Raw genomic sequence first — 26574 nt, forward strand, 5'->3', positions numbered from 1 at the left:
AGAAAACAAAAATAGAGAAAATTTATGACCAGTAGATGTACTCTATAATGAATGTTAGTGGGGGTTCCTTGGGCAGAAGGAATATGAGATAAACCTCAATTGGATACATATAAAAATATGAAGTGTTGAAAATAAAGGTAAAATATCTATTTACAAATATTTAATTGCTCCAAAAGATAAATGATGCTAAACCAAACATTTAAAAAATGTATTGTGTGTTTTTAACACATGTAAAAGTGAAATATATGCCATCAAAGGCACAAGAGATGAAAGGGAGGAATTGGAAATATATAATTTTTAAATTATGTATGTACATGTAATACCATTTGAAGGTAATCTCAGCTTACATTACAATGTACATTATAAATCCAATGTAACAACTCATATTTTTAAAAAGAGGAATAACACCCTTGTCAGTACAGGAGATCAAAATGGCATTAAAAATGCGATTAAACTGAGAGAAGACAGGGAAACAGCAAACACAAAAACAAAGAGCAAATGGTGCAACAGAAAACAGTTAACAGGATTTTAACCTTTTGTCTGGTGACATCAATAATTATTTTAAATATTAATCTTCAAAACACAAGTTAAAAATTGATAAAACTGCAACTACACGTAGTCTACAAGTAACCCACTGTAGACATAATGATTCTGATAAATTAAAATTATCGACAGAGATAACGTGTAAATATTAACCAAAGAAAGCTGGAGCAATTTTATTAATTCCAGGCAAAGTAGACTTCAAAGCTCAGAATTTTATTAAGAATAAAGAGTGAAATTATATCACTGTAAAGGAGTCAAGTCTCCAAGCATAAATAACGATACTAATTGTGTATGTACCCAACACCTGAGATTCCAAATATATGACAAAAAATAGATTTAAAAGGGAAATGGAAAAATTCACAATTATAACCAGAGACTTCAACATGCTTATATTGGCAATTGATATAAAAAGAGGTCAGAAAATCAGTAAAGTTATAAGTAACCTAATGAGATCATTATCCAAGTTGACTTCATCTGCTTTTATAGAATATTCCACCCCATAGGAGAGAACATACTCTTCTCAAGTGCCACTGTAGTGAAGGCAGTGTAGTACTGGTGAAAGGATTGACAGAGACCAATAAAACAGAATCCATAAAACAGAATAGTGAGCCTCCAAACTGACTCACACAAACACAGTTGACTGATTTTTGACAAAGGTGTGAAAGCAATTAAATGTAGAAAAAGTTGTCTTTACTATAAACTGTGCTTGCAAAATTGGATATCCATTGAAAGGCCAGTACTTTGACATATACCTCTCACTTTATATAAAACATTTTTATTAAGAACCATAAACCTAAATATAAAATGTAACTATATAACTTTTGGAATAAAACATGGGCAAACAATCTCTGTTCTGTGAATTTGAATTTGGCAATGAGTTTTTTTTATAGGACATCAAAAATGTGAACCAAATAAGACAAAACATGATAAGTTACTAAATTATAAAAATGTAAAACTTTTGCTCTTCAAAAGGTACTGTTGAGAAAATGAAAAGACAACGTATAGACTGGGAAAAATATTTGCAATTCATATATTCTACAAAAGAAATGTATCCTGAAAATGAAAATAACACATAAAACTCAAGAAAATTAATAATGCATTTTAAGAATATAATATTAAAGATCTGAAAGACACTTTACCAAAAAGTACATTGAGATGGTAAATAAGCATATGAAAGTATGGTCAACATTAAGAAAAATGTCATTAGATACATCCTAATTAAGACTCCAAAGTGATAACTACACACCTTTTAACATCTTTAAAATTCTAAAAATTGTGATGATATATCAGGTTGATGAGAATCAAGGGCAACAGGAATTATTCCTTGATGGAAGAGATGCAAAATGGTAAAACCACTTTGGTAACAGTATGACAGTTTATTATAAAATTAAAATTAAACATACAGTTGCCATATTACCCAACCATCTCGTTTCTTGTATTTATTCAAATGAATTAAACTTTTATGTTCACACAGAAGCCTGTATGAAAATGGTCATAGCTGCTATTTATTATAGCCAATAACTGGGAAGAGCCAAGGTAATGTTAAACAGGGGAATGCATAAACAACTTTGTACATCCGTGTGATGCTACACTACTCAGCGATAAAAGGAATATTTATTCATCCTACTTGAATGAGTCATGAATGCATTTTACTAAAAGAAAGATCCTAGATTTTTAGCGTATACCTCATACAAAAAAATACAAGCCAGGCTCCCCTTTGATAACATTGAAGCATAATATTACTCCGGAGCACCTTGGTGGGATTAGTGTCAGGTTAGAACTTTGCCTGAAATAAATTTCTTGTTCAACTTTTTCCCTCCCTTTTATCTGTCTTCTGCATTCAATTATAGATTCTTCCAGAAAGCACTTCTTTAATAAATCTTATGCACACAAATCCTTATCTCAGTATCTACTTCTGGAACTCAAACTACGTCAGGAAAAAAAAGAACTGAAATTGAAGCACTCTCTAAAATCTCCTTAGTGTTTTACGCAATGAAGTTTAAGTTTATAGAGCATTGTCATTTTGATCTCATAACTGTAGTGTAACAATTAAGAGAGAAGCTTTATGCAATGCACTTAACATATTTCTTGAACAAACACTATAACAAATATTATTAGTAAACGTGAACAAAAATGATTTTTAAAACATTTTAAAACAGTGAAACCTGCTCCTGAATTTAAAAGTGTAATTAACCATGTAATTGAAGACTGTTCAAACTTGTAAATGGGAAATAAATTATAAAGAAGTTTTTGTAATTTTCAGTATTAATTTCTAGATTCCAAAGCAAGAGATATCCTATCTGACTCATGTGTAGTATAATATACTTATGTTCAAGAATGCAAAAATGCCTGAAATTTACTTAAGAACCAGCAGAGAAAAGTAGTCACAATGTTTATTTTAGTTGATTGTATTTGTCTTAAATTTGCTTTAAATAATCAAATTTGTATGCATATATTGATTTGCAAAATATTTATATTGTTTTAATGTAAAATATGATGCAATAAAACATAAACGATGTTGGATAATGTGATTAAAACAATCCAGTGGTAAGGTATGGTAGCCTAACCATCTGGCTACTTAATCAAACAAGCAATAACTATTATTTGTTGCCACAAACTAAATTATACTTAATGAACTTTATGAGATAATTATGGGTTTCTCAATGTGTCATCATGGATAAAAATACTAATTCATGTGTTCAGACAGAGATCCTGATTTAGTAGATCTTGTGTGGAGCTGCGGTGCTAACGTTCGTATCAAATGCCACAGCTGAGTTATATGCATTTTACCGATAAAAACAGAATTGCCTTGCCAGGTTAAGGCTATTAACATACTAAGTAAAATAATCTCTAAAGTTATCAGTATGAGTTGAGAAAACTTTGGAAGTTTAAAGAAATGAAATCATTTAATTGGAAGACATGAAATCATGACATTTGTTTTCAACCTACAAATTCAAAACACCAAGTTATTGCACATTTGGAGTGACTAATATGCTCTTACTTTTTATGTTATGTAGCCTAGTTGCCTGGACTGCTATTTGTTTAAATTATTGTACCTACGGGCCTTGAAGCACAATTACCACTTTTAAAAAAACATAATTTAGCAAGTATTACATTAAAATTTAATACCTTTTACAATATAATAAATTTAGTATATGTGATTTAATAATTTATATAATTAAAAAATTTATGTATTTTTATACAGACATTCTTTTCTGTAATTATTACGTTCCAAGTGCTAATTTGTGACTTCTGTGTGGTTTGTTCAAATTAACATAAAATTTGTGTTGGGCAATTAATGCTGTTTTTTCTGTTACCCTAGTAACCAAAAATAATATTTTAATATTGGAAACTCACTTTCTAATAATGAAAACAACGTCCTAAACCCTTTGTGGCTCCAGACATAGCAGCTGTAATTTTTGTGAGGTTTGTGCATCAGTGCAGAAGGCTTGGTAGAAAATTCAAAGCCAAGGCTAGCAAAGAAAACATGCATGAGAGTTCTAGGCAGGTTCCTTAAGAAGTACTTCGTTTCTCAGATCAAGAAAAAAAAAATGTGTCCGGCAGAAATGGACAGTTTCTGGGGTTAAGAATAAAACAAAATTAGCTAGAGAAATTATGCAAGGGCAAAAAAGAAAAAAAAGGATAAATGGACCATTATTAGCAGACAACATAAATTTCTTTCCTGCATAATTTTGCTTAGCTCCTCACTTTCTCCATCAAGAAATCTTTCTACATTGCTCTATTTGTTAAAATAAAACATGGTTTGATGGAGGTATTTTGACTCTGAGGGATTCATTATAACTCTGTCTCACCTGCAGAGTAATTGTGAGGGCAGAAAGTTAAGACTTAATTTTTAGAATGGTCTCCATAGTCTAATGTGAAATACAGGTTTCAGAAGTTTTTATTTATTTATTTTTGTTGTTCATTTCTGTCTTTATTAACTGTCATTCTAAATTCATTGACTTTGCTGGAATCTATGGAAGACTGGTCCAAATTGCTGGTGATAACATAAATTGTTTTCAATATAAGTATTTTTAAGTTTTATTTTTAATCGGCACATAATTGTACGTATTTATGAGGTACAGTGTAACATTTTGCTACATGTGTACATTGTATAATGATCACGTCAAGGCATTTAGCTTATCATCACTTCAATAATTTATCATTTATTTGTAGTGAAGACATAGAAAATACTCTTTTAGTTATTTTGAAACATACAATAAAAGTATTGTTAACCATAATCACCCTACTGTGTAAGAGACAGCAGAACTTTTTCCTCCTATGTTCCATAATTTTGTTCCCCTTGATCAGTCCCTTTCCATCCTCTTCTCCCTGCTTCCCTCCCAGCCTCTGGCAACCACTATTGTCTTTTATACTTCCATGAGATCAGCTTTTAAATTCCATAAATGAGTGAGATAATGTGATACTTGTCTTTCTGTGTATAGCTTATTTCACTTCACATAAGTCCTTCAAGTTCATCCATGTTGGACTAAATAACAGAATTTCTTTTTTTTTTTTTAAGGACAAAGAATATTCCAAACAAAGCCAAACAATCCATGACCCAGAGTTTGTTCTATTATATTTCCATTGAGATGTGATTATCTCAAAGTCTAGGTTTAGTCCTTGTTCCAGATTAAAATCTGAAATTGGAAGGTGTAGATAACAACTAGAAATATAGTTGAAAAGAAGCTCCTAATATGGACTCCATTCATGAGGTGATATGATACTTAGTCTTATGTAATATCTTGAATGGGCTCTAGTACCCAGTTATTTAATTAAACAATCATCTAGTTGTTGTCATGAAAGTGTTTTGCAGATGTATTTGTTTAACACCTACAATCAGTTGACTGTAATTAAAGGAGATTGCCCTCCATAATGTGGATAGGACTCTCATAATCAGTTAAAGGCCTCAGGAGGAAAAACTGAGGTTTCCCAGATAAGAGATTTGACCTCAGCAGCATCAAACACTGCCTGAGTTTCCAGCCTGTTGACGAGCCCTACAAATTTCAGATCTGCCAGCCTCCACAATCATGTAAGCCAATTATTTAAAATCTCTCTCCCTCTCTCTCTCTCTCTCTCTCTCTCTGTGTGTGTGTGTGTGTGTGTGTGTGTGTGTATAGTTGGCCTTGAACAACTTGGGTTTAAACTGTGAAGTTCTACTTATATACAGTTTTTTTTTCAATAAATATATTGGAAAAATTTTAGGAGATTTGTCACAAGTTGAGAAGACTTGCAGTTTGACTGCATAGCTTAGAAATATTAAAAAAATAAGAAAAGTTAGGTATGTCACAAATTTCTAAAATATATGCAGATAATAGTCTATCATCATTTACTACCATAAAATATACACAGATCTATTATAAAAAGTTAACATTTATCAAATCTTATGCACATACACACACACAGACTGTACATGGTGCCATTTGCAGTTGAGAAAAATGGAAACAAACATAATGATGCAGTATTACAGAAGAACTGCATAAAATTAACTATAGTATGTACTGTACCACTGTAATAAATTTGTAGTTACCTCCTGTTGCTATTGATGTGGGCTAAAATGTTGCAAGTATCTGCTTAAAGCACTATGTCTCCATCTGAGTAGTTTCTCTCTCCAGTAAATTTAATACTGCAATAAAAAGTGATCTCTTGAAGTCCTGGCAAAATTTTCATTATGTTCACTGCAATATCATAAACCTTGAAAAATATCATGAGACCTATATGAAGCACCACTAGTAATGTTGGAAGTGCTCCCCCAAAGCAGAGGAAAGTCATGAGAATACAAGAAAAAGTTAAATTGCTTGATTTGTATTGCAGATTGAGGTCTACATCTGTGGTTTTCTGTCATTTCAAGATAAATGAACTCAGCATAAGAGTCATTGTAATAAATAAATAAATAAGTAAATAAATAAAGTAAAGGGAATTCATGAAGCTATATCTGAAGCTACACTAACAGGCCCAGAAACCTTGCACATTTTGTGAAATACCTTTTTTATTTTGTATTGAAAATGCATCTTTTGGCTGGGTGCGGTGGCTCACACCTGTAATCCCAGCACTTTGGGAGGCCGAGGCAGGCAGATCACCAGGTCAAGAGATCAAGATCAGCCTGGCCAATATGGTGAAACCCTGTCTCTACTGAAAATACAAAAAAATTAGCTGGGCGTGGCGGCACGCTTCTGTAGTCCCAGCTTCTCGGGAGGCTGAGGCAGGAGAATCGCTTGAACCCGGGAGGCAGAGGTTGCAGTGATGTGAGATCATGCCACTGCACTCCAGCCTGATGACAGAGAGAGACTCTGTCTAAAAAAAAAAAGAAAAAAGAAAAAAGAAAAGAAAATGCATCTTTTATGTGAATGCAGGATTGCTATAAGAAAAGCATATAGAATCCAATATGATTCCAGAAAAAGCAAATTCATTATATAACAACTTAAAACAAAAGAAAGGTGAAAGATCTAAAGCTGGAGAATAATGCCAGCAAAGGATGGTTCGATAATTTTAGAAAGATATTTGGCTTCAAAAATGTCAAGATAATAGGAGAAATAGTGTTTGCTGACCAAGCGGCAGTAGAAAAGTTTCAAGATCAATTTAAAGATCATTGAGAAGAAAGAATATCTGCCTGAGTAGGTTTTCAATGCAGATAAATGTGACATATTCTGGGGGAAAAAGACATAAAGAACATTTATTAGTGAGGAAAAAAATGTGAGCACTAAAGTTTAAGGCAGCAAGGGATAGGCTAACTACTATTTGGTATAAACACGATTAGCTTTGTGAGCAGCACTTTCTGCATTTATAAAGCTGCTAATCCCCAAGCCTTGAGAAGACAAAACAAACATTAGCTGTCAGTCTTTGAGATATACAACAAGCAGGCCTGAAAAACAAGACGATTAATTTTTTTTTTTTTTTTCTGGACTGGTTCCATCAGCGCCTTGTCTCTGAAGTCAGAAAGTACCTTGCCAGTAAGGGACTGCCTTTTAAAGCTTTTATGATATGAGAAAATGCCTTTGACCACTCTTAACCCCATGAATTTAAAACCAAAGGTATCAAATTAGTGTACTTGTCCCCAAACAAAACATCTCTAAATCAGCCTCTAGATCAGATGTCATAAGTACTTGTAAGGCTCATTACATATGGTACTCTATGGAAAGGATTGCCAACACTATGGAAGTGAACACAGGTGTACAGAACAATATGAAGGCCTAGAAGGATTAAATCATTGTTATAGAAAAAGCTGTGACAGCTGTCAAGCCCTAAACAGATTTCTGCTGAAGAAAACTGTATCCAGGTATGTGCCTGACTTCAGAGGATTTATGACAGAGTTCATGAAGGAATAATAAAAGAGGTTGTGGATATGGCCAAAAAGGTGCGGTAAAGGGTTTCTAGACATGGGTTTGGAGAAATTTAAGAGCTAATACACACACCAGAGGAATAAACAGAAGACAAGTATATGGAGATGAATGCTTCTTAACCAGTGCCAGAAAATTCAGAAGAAGACTTATAAGAAGCAGTGCCAGAAAACACATGGGCATTAGAGAATCTGAAAGAGGGTTTCTGTTATTTAAGACTCATTTTGACTTCTTTAGTGACATGGTCCCTTCTGTGATACATAGAGGAGCTGCAACTAAAGTAAATGGTGGAAGGAGGCTTGGTACTGTATGGAAACATTTTTAGATAAGTGAAAAAGAAAAAAAAAGAAACTATGATGTATTTCTGTAAAGTTACACCTAATATGCCTGCCTCTCCTGCCTCCCCTTCTGTCTCATCTATGAAATCTTTCATCTCTACCACTCCTGAAACAGCAAGAACAACCCCTCTTCTTTCCTCTCTTCCTCACCAATTCAATGTGAAGACAACAAAGATGAAGCCCTTTATAATGATCTACCTTCTAATTTTCTCTGCCTTATGATTTTCTTAATAATATTTTCTTTTCTACAGTTTACTGTAAGAATATGGTATATAATACACATAACATACAAAACAAAGTATGTGTTAATCAACTGTTTATGTTATAGGTAAGGCTTCCAGTCAATAGTAGGTTACTATTAGTTAAATTTTTGGGGAGGCAAAAGTTATATAAGGCTTTTTGACTGTGTAGAAGGTTGGCATTCCTTACCTCTATGTTGTTCAAAGATCATATATAGCCTATAATTCTAGCACTTTGGGAGGCTGAGGTGGGTGGATTGCCTAAGATCAGGAATTGGAGACCAGCCTGGGCAACATGGTGAAACCCTGTCTCTACCAAAACAAAAAATTAGCTGGGAGTGGTAGTGTGCGCCTGTATTCCCAGATACTCAGGAGGCTGAGGTAGAAGAATCACTTGAATCCAGGAGGTGGAGGTTGCGGTGAGCTGAGATCGCACCACTAAACTCTAGCCTGGGTGACAGAGCGATATTCCACCTCAAAAAAAAAAAAAAAGATACACACACACACATACACACACACACACATATATATATATTCTATATATATATATTCTATTGGTTTTGTTTCTGTAGACAACCCTGACTAATAAAGGTGTCTATTTAAAATATCAAATTATTATATATCTTGACCACAAAAAAATAGACATATGAAAATACCACTAATAAATCTTCTTTCTTTTTTTTCTTAATTGCAACAAAATAAATAATTTCAGTAGATAACCTTTTGCACTAGTCTTAATACATAAGCACACATGTGTATGCTGGACATGCACATATATGCACCCAAGTTTCTTTTTCTATTTAGACTCTACCTAATGTTATTGGTCTTTGTTAACTCTCTGAACATATTTCAGTGTTGCTTAATATTATGATCAGCATAAGGAATAAAGTTGAGAATGGATCAACAGTTGACATTTCTTAGAAGGGCTTAACCGAAGATAGTATCCAAGGGATAATGAGATGCCTATGGCTAAGATGTCAAACTTTTTATTTTTATTTGTGTGAACCTTTGACAGTAATGAATGGTACACAGTACAAATTCTCCATGAAGGAATGCTCAGAACATTCAAAAGAACAGAGAAGTCAGAGAAGCTTGGAAATATTTCACATTACTGAAAGTCATAATAGTGAGATGACAGAATAAAGAATAGAATTGAATAACATTGTCTTTTAATATTTCATTTAAAAATTACTATTAACTTTTATTTTTACTTTTAGATAATCTCAGGTTTGAACCATTATTTTTGAAATGAATAGTGATGATGTTAAAAAATCATGCAAGGGTAAATAATCCATTGAGAGTGCAAGATAGACTGATGTATTTTAACATAACAGTTCCTTGATGTATTTGAGACTCCACTATGACATGGTATCAAATTTTAAAAATTCACAATGATTTGAAAAAGCTATTAAAATACTTCTCTGCCAATATATGGTAGCTCATGCCTGTAAAGTCAACAGTTTGAGAGACCAAGATAGGAGAATCCCTAAAGTCAGGAGTTAAAGACCAGCCTGGGCAACAGAGCGAGACCTCCTGTTTCTACAAAGAAACTGAAAATTGAAAATTTAGCCAGGCATTGTGACACATGCCTGTAGTTTCTGCTGCTCAGGAGGCTGAGGCAGGACGATCGCTTGAGTCCAGGAGTTTGAGGCTGCAGTGAACTCTGATTGTTCCACCGCACTGCAGCGTGAGCGACAGAGCAATACCTTGTCTCACACAAAACAAACCAAAAAATTCTAATTTTTTCAGCTACAGGAAAGTAATTCCTTAATCTCTAATCAACAATTAAAAATTTTAACTACATATTTCTTCATATACTTCAAGTAACACAACCTATCAGGATATATTGAATGTGGAAACAGACAAAAGAATCCAGTTGCCTTCTGCTAAGCCTTTAAAAATTTTTCAAAAAATGCAAAACAATTCCTGAGTTCTCAGTGTTTATTTTTGTTTTCCAAAATACAGTTATATTATAACTTTATTTTTGTTAACCTATTATAGATTTATTGTATCACTTTTAAATGAATTAAGAAATATACTGAACATATTTATTTTAATTTTTAATGTGGTTAATATCAGTAGATAGTAAAAATATCTTTCAAGCATTAAATATTAATGTTGTTAAAACTTTATTCCTCTGTACATTTATTTTTTAAATGCTATGTGATGAAATGACAAGTATATACAAAGCAAAGCTGCTGCATACTGTAGTACAATAGTTGGTAAGCTGGTAAGTAATCATTCTAGACTGTAATGACATGCTGAGACTAACAAGTTTGAAAACATCCCATTATGGATTATTCATTCAAAGGAAATAAATCTGTGCCAGTTTTCATATTAATTTCAATCATATTATAAGGATCCCTTGCTATCTAAATGTCTGCTACCTTGAGAAATTAGAATAAATTTCCAAATAAATCCCTTGCTATCTGCATTTTTTCTATTCACTACCTAAAACTTAAATATGAAATATATTTATATGACAAGTTAGTCTGTATTCCAGAATCACTTTTAAAATCCATGCTAGCTACAATTTAAAAAATATATAGATTTGGTAATGAAAGGACATTTGCGTCTTAAAAGATTGCATTATCTATTATCTTTCCACCACTTTAAGATTCATGGTCAGTTATAGTTTTGTCTCTCCAAACACCCAAGTTTTTCATAAATAGTTTTTTATGATTCAGTTCTATGGAGAACCTTGTTTAGAATTAGTATCTGTATTTATACAAAATGATTAACTCCTTTTGGCATTGTTGATGAAATCTGTAACTGGCATCTGATGACAACTGAATCAGTGAGCCCATCCGCTATTATTTTTGGACAAAAAGTTCTTAATTGGTCTGATGCCCTTAAATGGAAGAAGTTGTTAGCTCTAGAGTTGCCAATTGCGATTTATCACTATGGGAATTACAAGTTAAGGAAGTCAGAGTCAGAAGCGTGAAACAGATACACATAAAGCAAGAAAAGTAGGAATGAGTAAGGGAAAGAAAAGACTTCTATTTATCTTTTGTTGCTGGTCTTATTCTTAACATTAGATCTTAAGATATTGCCCGTGTCACAATACATTTTGATCAGCCTACTTCCATTTGAAAGCAAATTATTCTAACTCATTAACTTCAAAACTGATCAATTATAATCTCTGATATGATTGTGTCTTCAAGATACATACATAATAATTGTGCCTTGGGCATATTACTTGTGCCCATGCTATAAAAATTATTATTTGATGGGACCACAAGTTTCTCTTCTAATTTTCTTGTTTTCTTCCTCCATCCTTGACAATTGCATTTTGCAAGTTTCCCTTTGTTCCCCCAGATTTTCACCTTGGCTTTCATTAGCAAATAAAATTTTCCCCATTGACTTCAGCTGCACCTAAGACTTTAAATTTTATCTGTTTACTTGTAACTTTCAAATCTACATTTCCAACTCTTATCTTTCTTTTGAGAATAAGATTCATTTAATCAGTTACTTGCTAACCCTATCCAATTGCTGCCATACCACAAACTTAAATCAAAATTGAATTTTCCATTTCCTACCCCAGATGATCTCTCTTTTCTACTCATCTACATTTCCAGTGAATTGTTTCTCCATCTGCCTATTTACTTGAGGAAAACAATCAACATCCTCCTTACAATCAAAGAATCCCTCTCTGTAAAGCTTTACCCACACCATACTTTTATTCACTAATACTGTTAATTGTGTCTCATAAATAGATCTTAAATAACCTTCTCTCCAACTCTGCAGATTTTTCAATGTTCTTCTGGAAAATTAAAAAGAGACTAAATAATCTACCTAACTGTAATCCCCCGCACCTCTAATCCATCTTTTATGTTGTTGGCAAACTAATTCCCAAAATGCAGATCTGACCAAGCCATCTTTCTGAGTATCCTTCTCCCATTGCCTATCATCACCACCATAGACAGGTATTTCAATCTGATATTGTAGTCTTTGTCTACCGAAATGATCATGAAAAAAGTCAAAAGCAACAGTTTGGTAGAGATAAGTACAAGTAAACCATGCACAGAAGAGATTTTATATTATACATATAATATGTACATTATATATTTAATCGATATTACCTATATATTACCTAAAATGTATATATTTATGTACATGCATTGAAAGTTATATAATGTTTTACCTGTGGAAAAATATCTGGTTATAGGTGATACTAGCTTGAAGGTAGTGGTCTGTCTGCTTTGGAAAAAAAACACTGTGTTGACTCTAAGACCAGTGTATTTGTCCGTTTTTATACTGCTCTGAAGAAATACTTGATATTGGGTAATTTATAAAGAAAAAGAGGTTTAATGGACTCACACTTCCACATGGCTGGGGAGACCTCACAATCATGGTGGAAAGCAAAGAAGGAGCAAAGGCACATCTTACATGGTGGCAGAAAAGAGAGCTTGTGCAGGGGAACTTCCCTGTGTAAAACCAGCAGATCTCATGAGACTTATTTACTATCAGGAGAACAGCATGGGAAAACGTGCCCCACTATTCAATTACTCTCCCTGCACAGGGTCCCTCCCATGACATGTGGGGATTATGGGAGCTACAATTCAAGATGAAATTTGGATGGGGACATAGCCTAACCATATCATCCAGTAAATACTAATGTGATCTCCTTTTGCTGTCTTCCAAATTACAGACCTTATAACTAATTTATATTTCAGAAACTGCTCGATACATGCTAATATTTCAATCGAAGTCCCAGCATTAGAAAAAAAAAAAAAAAAACAGCACCAATAGCATTCTTTAAGACTTATAAATAAACCTGAACTCATTTCCATACAAAATATATATGTACCCACTAAGCTATGATCTAAAATTTGTGAAAGAAGGAACTGTCGATTACCCTATACCCAACACATGCCATGGCACGTGTCATAACTCAGGAGCTTAATAGATCTTTTGAAATAAATAAATGAATAAATTAATTGATGCAATACATCCTTGAAAGACTTGAGATACTTATAAACCATATTCTATGGCAACTATACTATTGATAGTCTATTTTTCCCATATAAAAAGTAAGTTGAAACAACATGTGTATAACACCAAATCATCTATAGTTAGGTTTTTGGTTGTTTTGTTTTGTTGGATAGCATCTGATGAACTGAGATGTTATAATATTACTTTTCTGGTGCTATGAAAACAAATATTTAGGGATGCAGAAGACTGCAGGAAACAATGGTGATCTTTGTGGATACAGATATAAAGCTTGGAGAACAAGAGAAATAAAAAGCAGCAGAGGAAATGAGGCCTAAAAACAGTGGTGGCCGGGCTCGGTGGCTCACGCCTGTAATCCCAGCACTTTGGGAGGCAGAGGCGGGTGGATCACAAGGTCAGGAGTTCAAGACCAGCCTGGCCAAGACGGTGAAACCCCATCTCTACTAAAAATACAAAAATTAGCCAGGCGTGGTGGTGGGCACCTGTAATCCCAGCTACTCGGGAGGCTGAGGCAGGGAATTGCTTGAATCCAGGAGGCAGAGGTTGCAGTGAGTGGAGATCGCGCCACTGCACTCCAGCCTGGGCGACAGAGTGGGACTCCGTCTCAAAAACAAAAACAAAAACAAAAAAACCGGGGTTGGAGATGGCAGAGTTTGGTTTATTTGTGTGCTAGGTGTTTAGTTTTAATTATAGACTTTTAAAAATCACAAACTCCTACCCAGGGAAATTCTGAGTAATTAGGCCTGTGTTACAACCCTAGAATAGATATTTTTAAAAAATAATAAATAATCTACAGTGCAACGAAATTTGGGGAATATTTCTTCTAAGGACATTTTTCACTTAAAAATAAATTTATAAATTTATCTCACGTTATAAATATTTGCATTCTTTTTTTTCAATTTTCATAAAATATTATATTACCTCTAAATGCCAGTATGGAACTAATTGTTATCACTTTAATATGGAAGTCTTTATTTTATTTTATATTAGTAATTGAAATAATCATTTTTTACATTTTTGCCCATTCTCTTTTTGGCGTATTTCCTATAGATGGCTAGTGCTTGTTCTGAGGAACTCTGACTTCTCAGTTCTAAGTTTGATTTAGTCTGTTCATGCTGCTGTTACAAAATAACTGAGACTGGGTAATTTATAAAGAACAAAAATTTGTTACTCACCGTTATGGAGGCTGGAAAGTCCAACATCAAGGCACATATGAGTTTGGTGTTTGGTGAGGGCTCAGTCTCAGCTTCTAAGATGACCCCTTGTTGCTGCATCTTCTAGAGATGAGAAATGCTATGTCCTCACATGGTTAACAGGATAAGAAAGAGGAGAAAAAAGAGCAAACTCTCTATCAAGCCCTTTTATCAGGGTACCTAATTTCATTCATGGAGGCAGAACTCTCATCACTCAATACCTTCTAAAGTATATGCCTCTTAATACTGTTGTCTTGGAAATGAAGTTTCAACATGAATTTTGGAGGGAACAAACATATTGAAATCATAGAAAATTTGCATGAGCACTCTGGTTCTTGCTAAGAAAGTTCTGTGTGTCTAGCTTTAGCAATTCATGTAATATAATTTTATAAGCAACTTAGAACTCATGAAATTACTATTCTGCTTACTTAGTTTACTTACTTTTTAAAGGAAAAACAGCCTAGCAAAGTATTTTAGGCATGAATAGAAGATTCCAAATTATTTCAATGATGAAAACCTTATATTTTTCTTATTAATATTATCTGTCTCTCAGTTGTCCAGGTGAAATATCCAGACATTTTCTTCAGGGTAAACCATGAAAATCATAAATCTAGAAAACTTTTTAAACTTTAAAGGTTATCATTTTGGAGAAATGATAATGGAAATTATTCTAAGTCATTTTAAAAATAATTTGCAACCTTCTTACCTCAATGACACTGTCTACTCACCTTTGAATTGTTTCCCCTGAAGAAGATAAAATATTTCAGAACACTATGAATCTGCTTGATAGTCACATTTAAATTTTGAACTAATTTTAATTAGTGAAACTGACCAGGATCAGTCTGATAACTTGCCTTTTTATTCATTTTGACTTTGTTAGGTAAACTTCGCATCAGCATTTAGATCAATGCAGTAGGTCAATTAAGTAGAACTGCCTAGAACTTCATGACTTAGCACTATTTCAAACCTACTATTGGAGGTATTCCCCTCATATCTCATGCAAAGCAGTTCTTTCTTCTTTTCATATATCTTTTAATTATGAGGCTATTAAAAGACTTTCTTTGAGAATTTACTGTCTATATTAGTTTGTTTTCACACTGCTATAAAGAAATATCTGAGACTAGGTAATTTATAAAGAAAAAAGGTCTAATTGACTCACAGTTCTGCATGGCTGGGGAGGCCTCAGGAAACTTACAATAATGGCAGAAGGGAAAAAGTCACATCTTACATAGTGGCAGGTGAGAGAGAGAGGTGTGAAAGGGGAAGATCCCCTTATAAAACCATCAGAACTCATGAGAACTCATTATCATGAGAACAGCATCGGGGAACCACCCCCATGATCCAATAACCTCACAACAGGTCTTTCCCTAGACCCGTGGGTATTACAATTCAAGATGAGATTTGGGTGGAGACGCAGTCAAATACAATCACTTCCCCTGTTGCTTAGTAAGAATAATGGATAGAGGTGGCTGGGCGCGGTGGTTCACGCCTGTAATCCCAGCACTTTGGGAGGCCGAGGCGGGCGGATCACAAGGTCAGGAGATCGAGACCCTCCTGGCTAACACGGTGAAACCCCGTCTCTACTAAAAATACAAAAACTTAGCCGGACGTGGTGGCGGGCACCTGTAGTCCCAGCTACTCAGGAGGCTGAGGCAGGAGAATGGCGTGAACCCGGCAGGCGGAGCTTGCAGTCACGCCACTGCACTCCAGCCTGGGCGACAGAGGGAGACTCCGTCTCAGAAAAAAAAAAAAAAAGAAAGAAAAAAATAGAATAATAGATAGAGGTGATGCTACACAGCATTTCTCTTTATATTAGTTAGTTTTGAACACCATCTCCAGTGCAGAAATCCTAGACTTCTTGAACTTATTTATTTCACATTTCTGCTGGAAAATTCTTTTACTCATCTGGCATGACGCCTAGACTCAAAAGCAGATCATCTTTCCACAGATTCTTTATACTCCCCACTTCATTCTTGGTGATCAAAAGAGATAAAGAAAAGTCTATTCAAATAAATAGTGTCTTCCTAAAGCCTGGGTGCGTCTTCCAACATTCCACTCACTATGTTTTCTTAATCATGACATACATATTTAAAATATTTTCTACTTGGAAAAATGTAATTGTATTGACTTGTGGCACAGTTCTACTAACCCAACACTGATCCTTAGTTCTTCAGAAAATGATCAAGTATAAGCATCATTAAAAGGAAATCTTAAGCTTTCCAATTAATGTAATTTATACAAATTTTGTACTTCCTTTTCTGTAGTTGTATGAAAAGAAAATGTGCCAAATCCTAACTTCTAACCTGGGGATTAGACAGATTGGCTAACAGCCATTTCACACACTCCCTCTGTCCTCTTCTAATAAATCCTATGTCTTAAAACAGCCCTTAATAAAATAACACGCTGAAATGAAAGTAATTTTAACATGTGTATTACCATGACTGCAGAGCAGAACAATTCTGAAATCTGCACAGAGACACTTGAGTTGTCCAGATGAGATAGACAGTTGTCCAGATGAGATCAGTGTGTGTTCACTAATTTGTATATTTAAGTGATGGAACCAAGAAGGAATATAAAAAACTTAATTTGTCCCCAAAAATATTTCATCCTAATACTTCTACCATTTGTAAAGTCATTTTCATTAGTTTTCGAAAATGCTGTATTTGATAAACATTCTTCCTGTAGTATCAGGCTTTTTCTCAACTTGCTATGGGACTCCTTTGTATAAATTATTCCTGGCTCCTAATTACATGATTCTAACCTGTGAACAACTTGTCTTCCCCAATGATGACAAATGCTTATTTGGTATTATCTGCATTTAAATTCCACTGTAGTTTCATCTCCTCTGATATTCTTTATAGTGAATTAAAATTTTATGTTGCCTTGGCATCTATTCTGAATACAAGTTGGACTTTCTTATACCAGAAGCAGGGCTTATTTACCCTTGATGAGGTGCCTAGTTCTTCACCTCTTCCTAGTTTGTCAATGCAATTGATCCAGATGTCTACCTTGCATAACCGCCTCCTGGTGACCACCTCCCTGTGGGATACCTACATACAACCTACTTGACTAGTCCTACTGATGTCCATACTCTGCATGGACTGGCAGATATGTCACCATGGAATGGAGATTTGTCTTGAACAGTGTTCTATAATCAGAGATTTTAGTAACTAATAAAAACTTCTCCACTTAAACTAAATTTTTATATTTTGCTAGAAAATTCTCCATGATTTTAAGGCTAGTTTATTCCAAACTAGCAATTTATAAAACTTTTAAAATTGTAACTGGATAATTCACTGCATTTTTTAATTTCTGAAATTCAAAACACTTTATATCTAACATGAGTGTAGAAATATACAATTTTCCTAGGATTATTGCCATGAAAAACAGCTATTTCATTGTTTACAGTTTATTACCCTCCCCTCCTTATCTCTCCACATTCATACTAATCTACAAGACATTAATCATCATTATTGGTTTGAAGAAAATTCTTTTCTCTGGTAAACTCAAGCTCATGAAGTTCCCAAAGAAACAAGTAGAAAAGACAAAACCTTTCATAAAGAATGAATTGTGAGTTGTTTTTATAAATTCAAAGTTGGAGAAAGTAACAGTTATCATCTTCTAACCATTATGTATTAGGGAAGAAACGATTTACTGAAAATCACATACCATTTCACCCTCTGGAGTCATCATTCTGCATCTTGAAATATATTCAAGGAGATCAAAATACAGTGTGACCTCAGAATGCTCACGTTTTAAGACGGTCACTCCATTTCTGATTCCTTTCCTACAGGTCGGCCTTTTCTTAAAGCCTGGAGATTGCAGCGGTTTCTTGGTTTGACATCATTTTTTCCAAGCGGTAACTAATTATCCTAAAAACTTTACACTTCAAGTACTGTCCATCTTGATTCACGTTTATAAACTATAATACTTTTTCTTTTTTTCCTGAATACAGTGAAAGTTTTCAAATTGTTAAAAACAATCTTTATACTTAGACTAAATCCTAAATTTATTAGATACTGAACAATTCCTGGGGGATGCACTGCATGTTACTTTTAAACCACTCTTTAAAGTACAGTGATTAAGCAGTACCACCAAAAACCAGGCACATTGCCAAACTACTATCACTTTTTAAAAAATCAAATAAGCTGAATTGTGTTGCATTAGATTCAGTGATTCTAAGAAGAATGTGTATAACAGAACAGAGGCCTCAAAAATAACACCACACATCTACAACCATCTGATCTTCGACAAACCTGACAAAAACAAGAAATGGGGAAAAGATTCCCTGTTTAATAAATGGTGCTGGGAAAACTGGCTAGCCATATGTAGAAAACTGAAACTGGATCCCTTCCTTACACCTTATAGAAAAATTAATTCAAGATGGATTAAAGACTTAAATGTTAGACCTAAAATCATAAAAACTCTAGAAGAAAACCTAGGCCATACTATTCAGGACATAGGTATGGGCAAGGACTTCATGTCTAAAACACCAAAAGCAATGGCAACAAATGCCAAAATAAACAAATGGGATCTAGTTAAACTAAAGAGCTTCTGCACAGCAAAAGAAACTGCCATCAAAGTGAACAGACAACTTACAGACTGGGAGAAAATTTTTGCAATCTACCCATCTGACAACGGGCTAATATCCAGAATCTACGAAGAACTTAAGCAAATTTACAAGAAAAAAAACAAACAAGCCCATCAAAAAGTGGGCAAAGGATATGAACAGACACTTCTCAAAAGAAGACATTTATGCAGCCAACAGACACATGAAAAAATGCTCTTCATCACTGGTGATCAGAGAAATGCAAATCAAAACCATAATGAGATACCATCTCACACCAGTTAGAAGGGCGATCATTAAAAAGTCAGTAAACAACAGATGTTGGAGAGGATGTGGAGAAATATGAACACTTTTACACTGTTGGTGGGAGTGTAAACTAGTTCAAACATTGTGGAAGACAGTGTGGCGATTCCTCAAGGGTCTAGAACTAGAAATATCATTTGATCCACTGATCCCATTACTGGGTATATACCCAAAGGATTATAAATCATGCTATTCTAAAGACACATGCACACGTATGTTTATTGCAGCACTATTCACAATAGCAAAGACTTGGAACCAATGTAAATGTCCATCAATGATAGACTGGATTAAGAAAATGTGGCACATATACACCATGGAATACTATTCAGCCATAAAAAATGATGAGTTCATGTCCTTTGGAGGGACATGGATGCAGCTGGAAACCATCATTCTGAGCAAACTATCACAAGGACAGAAAACCAAATACCACATGTTCTCACTCATAGGTGGGAATTGAACAATGAGAACACTTGGACACAGGGCCGGGAACATCACACCCCAGGGCCTGTCGGGAGGTGGGGCAGGCGGAGGGGTGGCATTAGGAGAAATACCTAATGTAAATGATGAGTTAATGGATGCAGCAAACCAACACGGCAAATGTATACCTATGTAGCAAACCTGCATGTTGTGCACATGTACCCTAGGACTTAAAGTATAATAAAAAAGTTAAAAAAATTAAAAAAAAAGAACCACTAAACAATTTATACAAATAGTCAACATCCATTGGGATTAAATAATTATCTCCCAAAAGAAAATCTCAGAAAACTCTTTAAGAAGTAACACTTAGGCCCTTGCTTTACACACAAATAGATTGTATTATCTTATTTAGGCTCTATTGAAATATCATGAGTACGGAAATGGAAAAAAACCTGTTTTCTTGCCTTTTCACACTTACCTGGTGACCTAGACCCACCTAGATCCATTCCTTTTCTATTTTATTCTGAGGGTAAAATACCCATTCCACAGCCTGCATAATTTCTAGAATGCTGTGGCGAAGCAGTTACTTGCAAAATTACTGATGCAGGGCATGGTGGCTCATGGCTATAATCCTAGCACTTTGGGAGGCTGTGGGATGGGGATCACTTGAGCCCAGGAGTTCAAGACCAGCACAGGTAGCATAGCAAGACACCATCTCTACAATTTCTTTTTTTTAATTAGCAAGGTGTGGTGGTGCACGCCTGTAGTCTCAGGTACTCTGGAGGGTGAGGTAGGAAGATTGCTTGAGACTGGGAGATCCAGGCTTTAGTGAGCTGTGGTCACACCCATGCACTCCAGCCTGGGCAACAGAGTGAGACCCTTTCTCAAAATATATAGGTAAAGAAATAAATTACTGATTTCCAAGGACAATGAATCAAAAGATAGCCTTGCCTTATTACAACATAGAGAAGTGTTAGAGCTATGTATCCGTGGAAATAATGTTGGTAAAAATTACCTAAGAATATAAAGAAGAGAAAATATTTTTCAAGCAAAGCATGCTTTACTACTTTAATCTGGATTAAATCTCTTTTGTAAAATAACTAAGATTGTAACATATCCATCTCATTTATTATTTACACTTTAGCAAATGAAAATGTCAAACTTTCTAAATTATTTGAGTTAGGATGACCAAATTATGTAGTGCTTAATTTTTTCCCATATTTCCTTTATTTTCTCTTATCCTAGAATTTTTCCCTTTCCTGTGTCAACATGACTTGGTATAGAGAGAAAATTTTATGGGACTGAAAGGAACTTGAAAAATTTTCTTCACATATTTTGCAATTACTTCAGGCTAAAGTTGCTTTTTAAAGGTGAAACTTTTTTTTCTCTTCTCAGACTTAAAAAAAAAGCAAGATCAAAAATTTATTCCTATTCTAGACTGTATTTGAGTTTCATATTATCAGTGGTAATGTAAAAATGAAATCTGTAAATTGTTGCAGTTTTTCTTATCTGCTTTCTATTTACAGTATACAACAATTGTTAGAACTTCTCAGTGAGTGTGTAAGTAGTAATGGTTTTACTATTTCCCAAGCCTCTGCATTGTAAGAGTTGGATTTTAAATATTCATTGCTTAAAATGCCAAAATGTGTTGCTGGAGTGAGGTTATATATCCTCTTTTGCTGGAGATCTTTAGAAACAGAATAGACACCTCTCTTCCTGTTTTAGTTTTATGTAGCTGTGTCTAGAAGCAAGGAAAGATTGTAAATGACCTCTGGAGACACTTTTAAGCTCTATAGTTTATGAAATGGATATACAGAATTTCAGAGTAGTGTTTAGACATAGCATCTAGTGGATCTTCACATAGTTAAAAATTTATAAAATTTGCCTTATACAGTACACTTAAGTAATATATTTCAGTGAGTTGTAAACATCTTAGTTTCAATTTATTTATTTAATTTACTGATCAGATAATACTTATTGAATGCCATAATCACATGTAGTAGGATAAAAAATGTCCCCACAAAAGAGAGATCAAGCTGTCAGTAGGGTTGATTCCCTCTGAGGGTTGGGAGTGAGAACCTTTTCCATAAGGATTTCTCAGCTTCTGGTTGTTTGTAGAACATTTCTGGCATTTTTTTTTTTTGGTCAAAATTTGCATCATCCCAATCTGCCTTCATTTTCACATGCTGTTGTTTCTATATGTGCGTGTCCAAATTTCCACTTTTGATAAGGACACAGTCATATTGCGGAGTGTGACCCACCTTGGTAACTTTATCTTAACTTGATCATATGGAAAGATTCTATTTCTAAATAAGGTCATATTCTCCGGCCCTGGATTATCAGGGAGTAGAACTTCAGCATCTTTTGAGATACGTAATTCAATCCATAACAGAGAGTATGTTAGAAAGAAGTACTCCACATTTCTGTTTTTAGGTAATACGTATAAAGCCACTCTAATCTGCAAACAGAGTAGCTGCCACCACATTTACCATCCAAATGCATGACAGAAGTTTCTTGAGGAGATTTGCTTTGTTCACCCACTTTTGCAACACTCATCACCATCTTTCTCACTATAGTCATCAAGAGACTAGGCCTGTAACTAATCAACATATTCAGAGGAAAAGGGGAATAGAGAGTAAAACATTACTCTGTGAAGTATGTAATCTTCTTGAGTAGCAATTCCATGTGAGAAGCATGGAGATAATTCCCGGTGAAGGGGTGGAAGGAATTGACTTACCTTTTAGTACGTAAAACAAATACATGAGAGGTGAGAGGATAGTAAATACAATGTGTATAGATTATCATGTCAAAAACCTTGCCTGTGAAAAAACAGGTAATATTGAGGAAGCTGTTATGGAAGGCCAAGGATTGTAATTTGGTTGGGTAATTAGTCAGTCAGCTAGTTAGTATATCTGTTTTAAATAGGACAGAACTGAGTTGAAAGTAAAAACCTAATATAATGAGAGAAGGGAAAAATATATTAAAAAGTAGGAGAGTGAAATATGACAGAATGACCAGAGGCAATGGGATTTACAGAGGTGGAACCATTGGTGCTGGACATAAGGTGAAATCTTTTGCCTTATACTGCTGTTAGGGCTTTAAGGATTGTGAAGGACAGAAAGTAAGCAGATTTTTAAATAAATTATTATAAGCATACATTTATTTTCTTGTATTTTTTCACACTTTTTGAATGAGATATTAGTTCCCCTGTGTCTTTGCAATGTAGCAGGGTAATGTGTAGGGATCTGATCATAGATGGTAAATGAAGGGCTAAAGAAATAAGGCTGTTAAAATTCTAGACTTAGTGTGATGATGACTTTCAGTTCTAGAAATTTTACTAATTAAATAATATTAATACAAAAAAGGAGTACTGTGCATATTTATTTAGAAATTAGTTGTCAATAGTTGTTACTTTGTCTGTCACTAGAGCTTCATAACTTGGAAATGTTTGAGGAAATATATGAAGATTTTATGTTTTAAAATAGTTTGTCGGCCGGGCGCGGTGGCTCACGCCTGTAATCCCAGCACTTTGGGAGGCCGAGGCGGGTGGATCATGAGGTCAGGAGATCGAGACCATCCTGGCTAACAAGGTGAAACCCCGTCTCTACTAAAAATACAAAAAATTAGCCGGGCACGGTGGCGGGCGCCTGTAGTCCCAGCTACTCGGGAGGCTGAGGCAGGAGAATGGCGTGAACCCGGGAAGCGGAGCTTGCAGTGAGCCGAGATTGCGCCACTGCAGTCCGCAGTCCGGCCTGGGCGACAGAGCGAGACTCCGTCTCAAAAAAAAAAAAAAAAAAAAAAAAAGTTTGTCAAAATCATTTCAAAAAATGAAGATAATCTTTTCAGAACAACATTAAAAATTACAAATAAATATATGAAAAATAAGATCATCTGTGGCCAAAAAAAATTGATTTGCACATTATCTAGCCACTCTTCTTGAAACAGGTATTACTTTTCATTTGACCTACAAATCCTAGGAATAATATTTTTGGTTAAAAGTGACATTTGGACTTGAACATTTTCCGGAACACTCTTTTGCAGTGTTTGAAGTTAGCTATACTCTGAATGCCATGAACACAATAAAAATATTAATTTAAGAGAAATGAATGTATAGTTTGCTAAATATTTGACATCAACACATATTTGTTTATATATTCTCATGTTTGTTTATTTACATACATATTTATCTATGTTTCTGTGTATGGTCTATTGTGGTAGTCAGCTTCTAAGATGTCTCCCAATAACCCACATCTTTTAGTGTTCTAGTATTATACATAATCTATACTTAGTATGGGCTGGACCCAGTGACTTACTTTTAATGAACAGATTATGGTAAAAGTAATGATCTGTCACTTCAAAGATTAGGCAACAAAAAAACTTCGACTTCTCTCTTGCTCACCTTCTTGTGCTCTCTCTCACTTGCTTGCTTGAATGGAGGGCAACTTCCATATTGTGCCCTAACCTACTGAGAAGCCCATGTGGCAAGGAACTGAGGAAGGCATTTGACCAACACCCAATGTGAAACTGAATTTAACAACCCCCAGGAAATGAATCCTGCCAACAACTACATGAGTGAGTTTGGAAGCGGATCTTTGTTTCCCTGCTTCCAAGCTTCTCAAGCTTGTTGAGACTTCAGATGAACTGTAGCCTTGACCGCTATCTTGACTATAGTTTTGTAAGGGACACTGAACTAGATGTGGCCAGATTCCTGAGCAACAGAAACTGTGAGTGAATAGATTGTTTTAAACCACTACATTTGGAGATAATTTGTTATGCAGCGAAAGCTCACAAATGCATTTATGTATTTATCTACATTAGCACATAAAACAATATAAATGCCATTTGTTTGGGTATTTATTACTGATCCTCCAGCTTACAAAGGTAGAAGTAAACATCTTAGATAAATGTCATAAAAAGAACTCCAGTTATTTCTTTTCCAATTAATTATTGCACAAATAAATTTAAATTCTAAAAATTAGAAAATGTACATTTTTCAAGTGTGAACTGTGGAAAATACTGTCACCACAGCCTGCAGATACTTTGTGATAACTTTTTCTCTCTGCTGGTTCAGCAATAACATAAATGTTTTTAAAACTTTTCTGACATCGTAGGCTGAGTAGGCTGCAATGAAGGCTATTTAACGTGTCTTTATTTTTTTCTTATTTTTTTTTTCAGTTGCTTCCTCCTGCTTCCCATTATGAGATGACATTCTCACTTTTTTCCATATTCTACTTCTGATATAGCAGCATGGTGCTTTCCTTTTCAATTATATCGTGTACTTATTTGTGTCTATGCTGACTTTGGAAAATTAACTCCTGGACTTCATAACTGTGTGTTTCAAAGATAGACTTCTCAGAACAAAATTAAAAAGAAAATGCTGACATTCATTTCCCAATTCACACAGCGATTCAATGTTTTAAGTAAACTCATTGCATAGATTGCCTATAAAGTAATAATATCTTGCTTTAATTTTACTTGTTATTAATAATACTAATGATAAAAATAATATTTAATACCTTAGAATAAAGCATTCACACATATTACCTTATTTTATCCTACTTAAAAAAACATATTAGCTGGTAGTATTTTCATTTTTCACATGAAGAAAATTATGTTCAGAGATGTCAATCAACTTGGATGAGGTCACAAAGCCAATGGAAAAAAATATGTTGGAAATGGAACTGATATAGTTTTAATTCAAAATCCTGCTTTTTACTGTGATTAAGAATATTGAACCTAAATGCTATTATCTACAACTAAGTTATTAGCAATACAAAATTACATAACTCTGCTTTCTTATTCTGCACTAAATTTCTCATTAATAGGCTATCGTATTATACTAATTTCTAATGACTCTAAAAACATCAATGCACCATGACTCTCTTCAGCTTACTCTACTTCACACTTAATGGCAAGCCTTATAACACTGTGTAGAAATAACAGTCTTAAAAATACCTGTTTTTTAAAAATAGGCTCTATTGGAAGATGAAATAATACATTCCAAACCAAAGCTACTGAAGTTTCAATATACAAATGGTCCCCAAGTTACTATTTAATGGTTTGATGTCTTGATTTTTCAACTTATGATGGTGTGAAAGTGATGAGCATTCAGTAGAAACTCTACTTTGAGTTTGAATTTTGATATTTTCCTGTGCTAGTGAAACACGGAATAACTGATGCGGGGCAGCAACAGCAAGCCACACTACCAGTCAGCCACATGATCACCAGAATAAACATCTGGTACTCTACAGTGTACGGTGTGCCAGACAATTTTGCCCAATAGTAGGTTCATGGAAGTGTTCTGAGCACGTGTAAGGTAGGATAGGCTAAGCTATGATGTTCAGTGTGTTAGATATATTAAATGCATTTTTTACTCAGCAATATTTTCAACTTAATATGGTTTTATTAGGATGTAACCCAATTGTAATTTGAGAAGCATCTGTGGTGTGTTACATGGGCTTATATTTCCTATTTTGGTAAGAAATTCATTCAGTCATTTATTTTTCACAAAAGGGTACCCTATAAGTTACAGAACAAATAATCTATATTAATATAAGATTGAATTTTATGAGACAAAATTATTACAGAAATTATAGAATAAAGTCATATACTGAAAACAAAATAGAAGCATTAAAGGAGACGAGATTGATTTGCTCATTATCTTTTCTGTGTCTTAATCATACA

This window comes from Homo sapiens, chromosome 8 (genome assembly GCF_000001405.40).
Source record: "Homo sapiens chromosome 8, GRCh38.p14 Primary Assembly".
Lineage (NCBI taxonomy): Eukaryota > Metazoa > Chordata > Mammalia > Primates > Hominidae > Homo > Homo sapiens.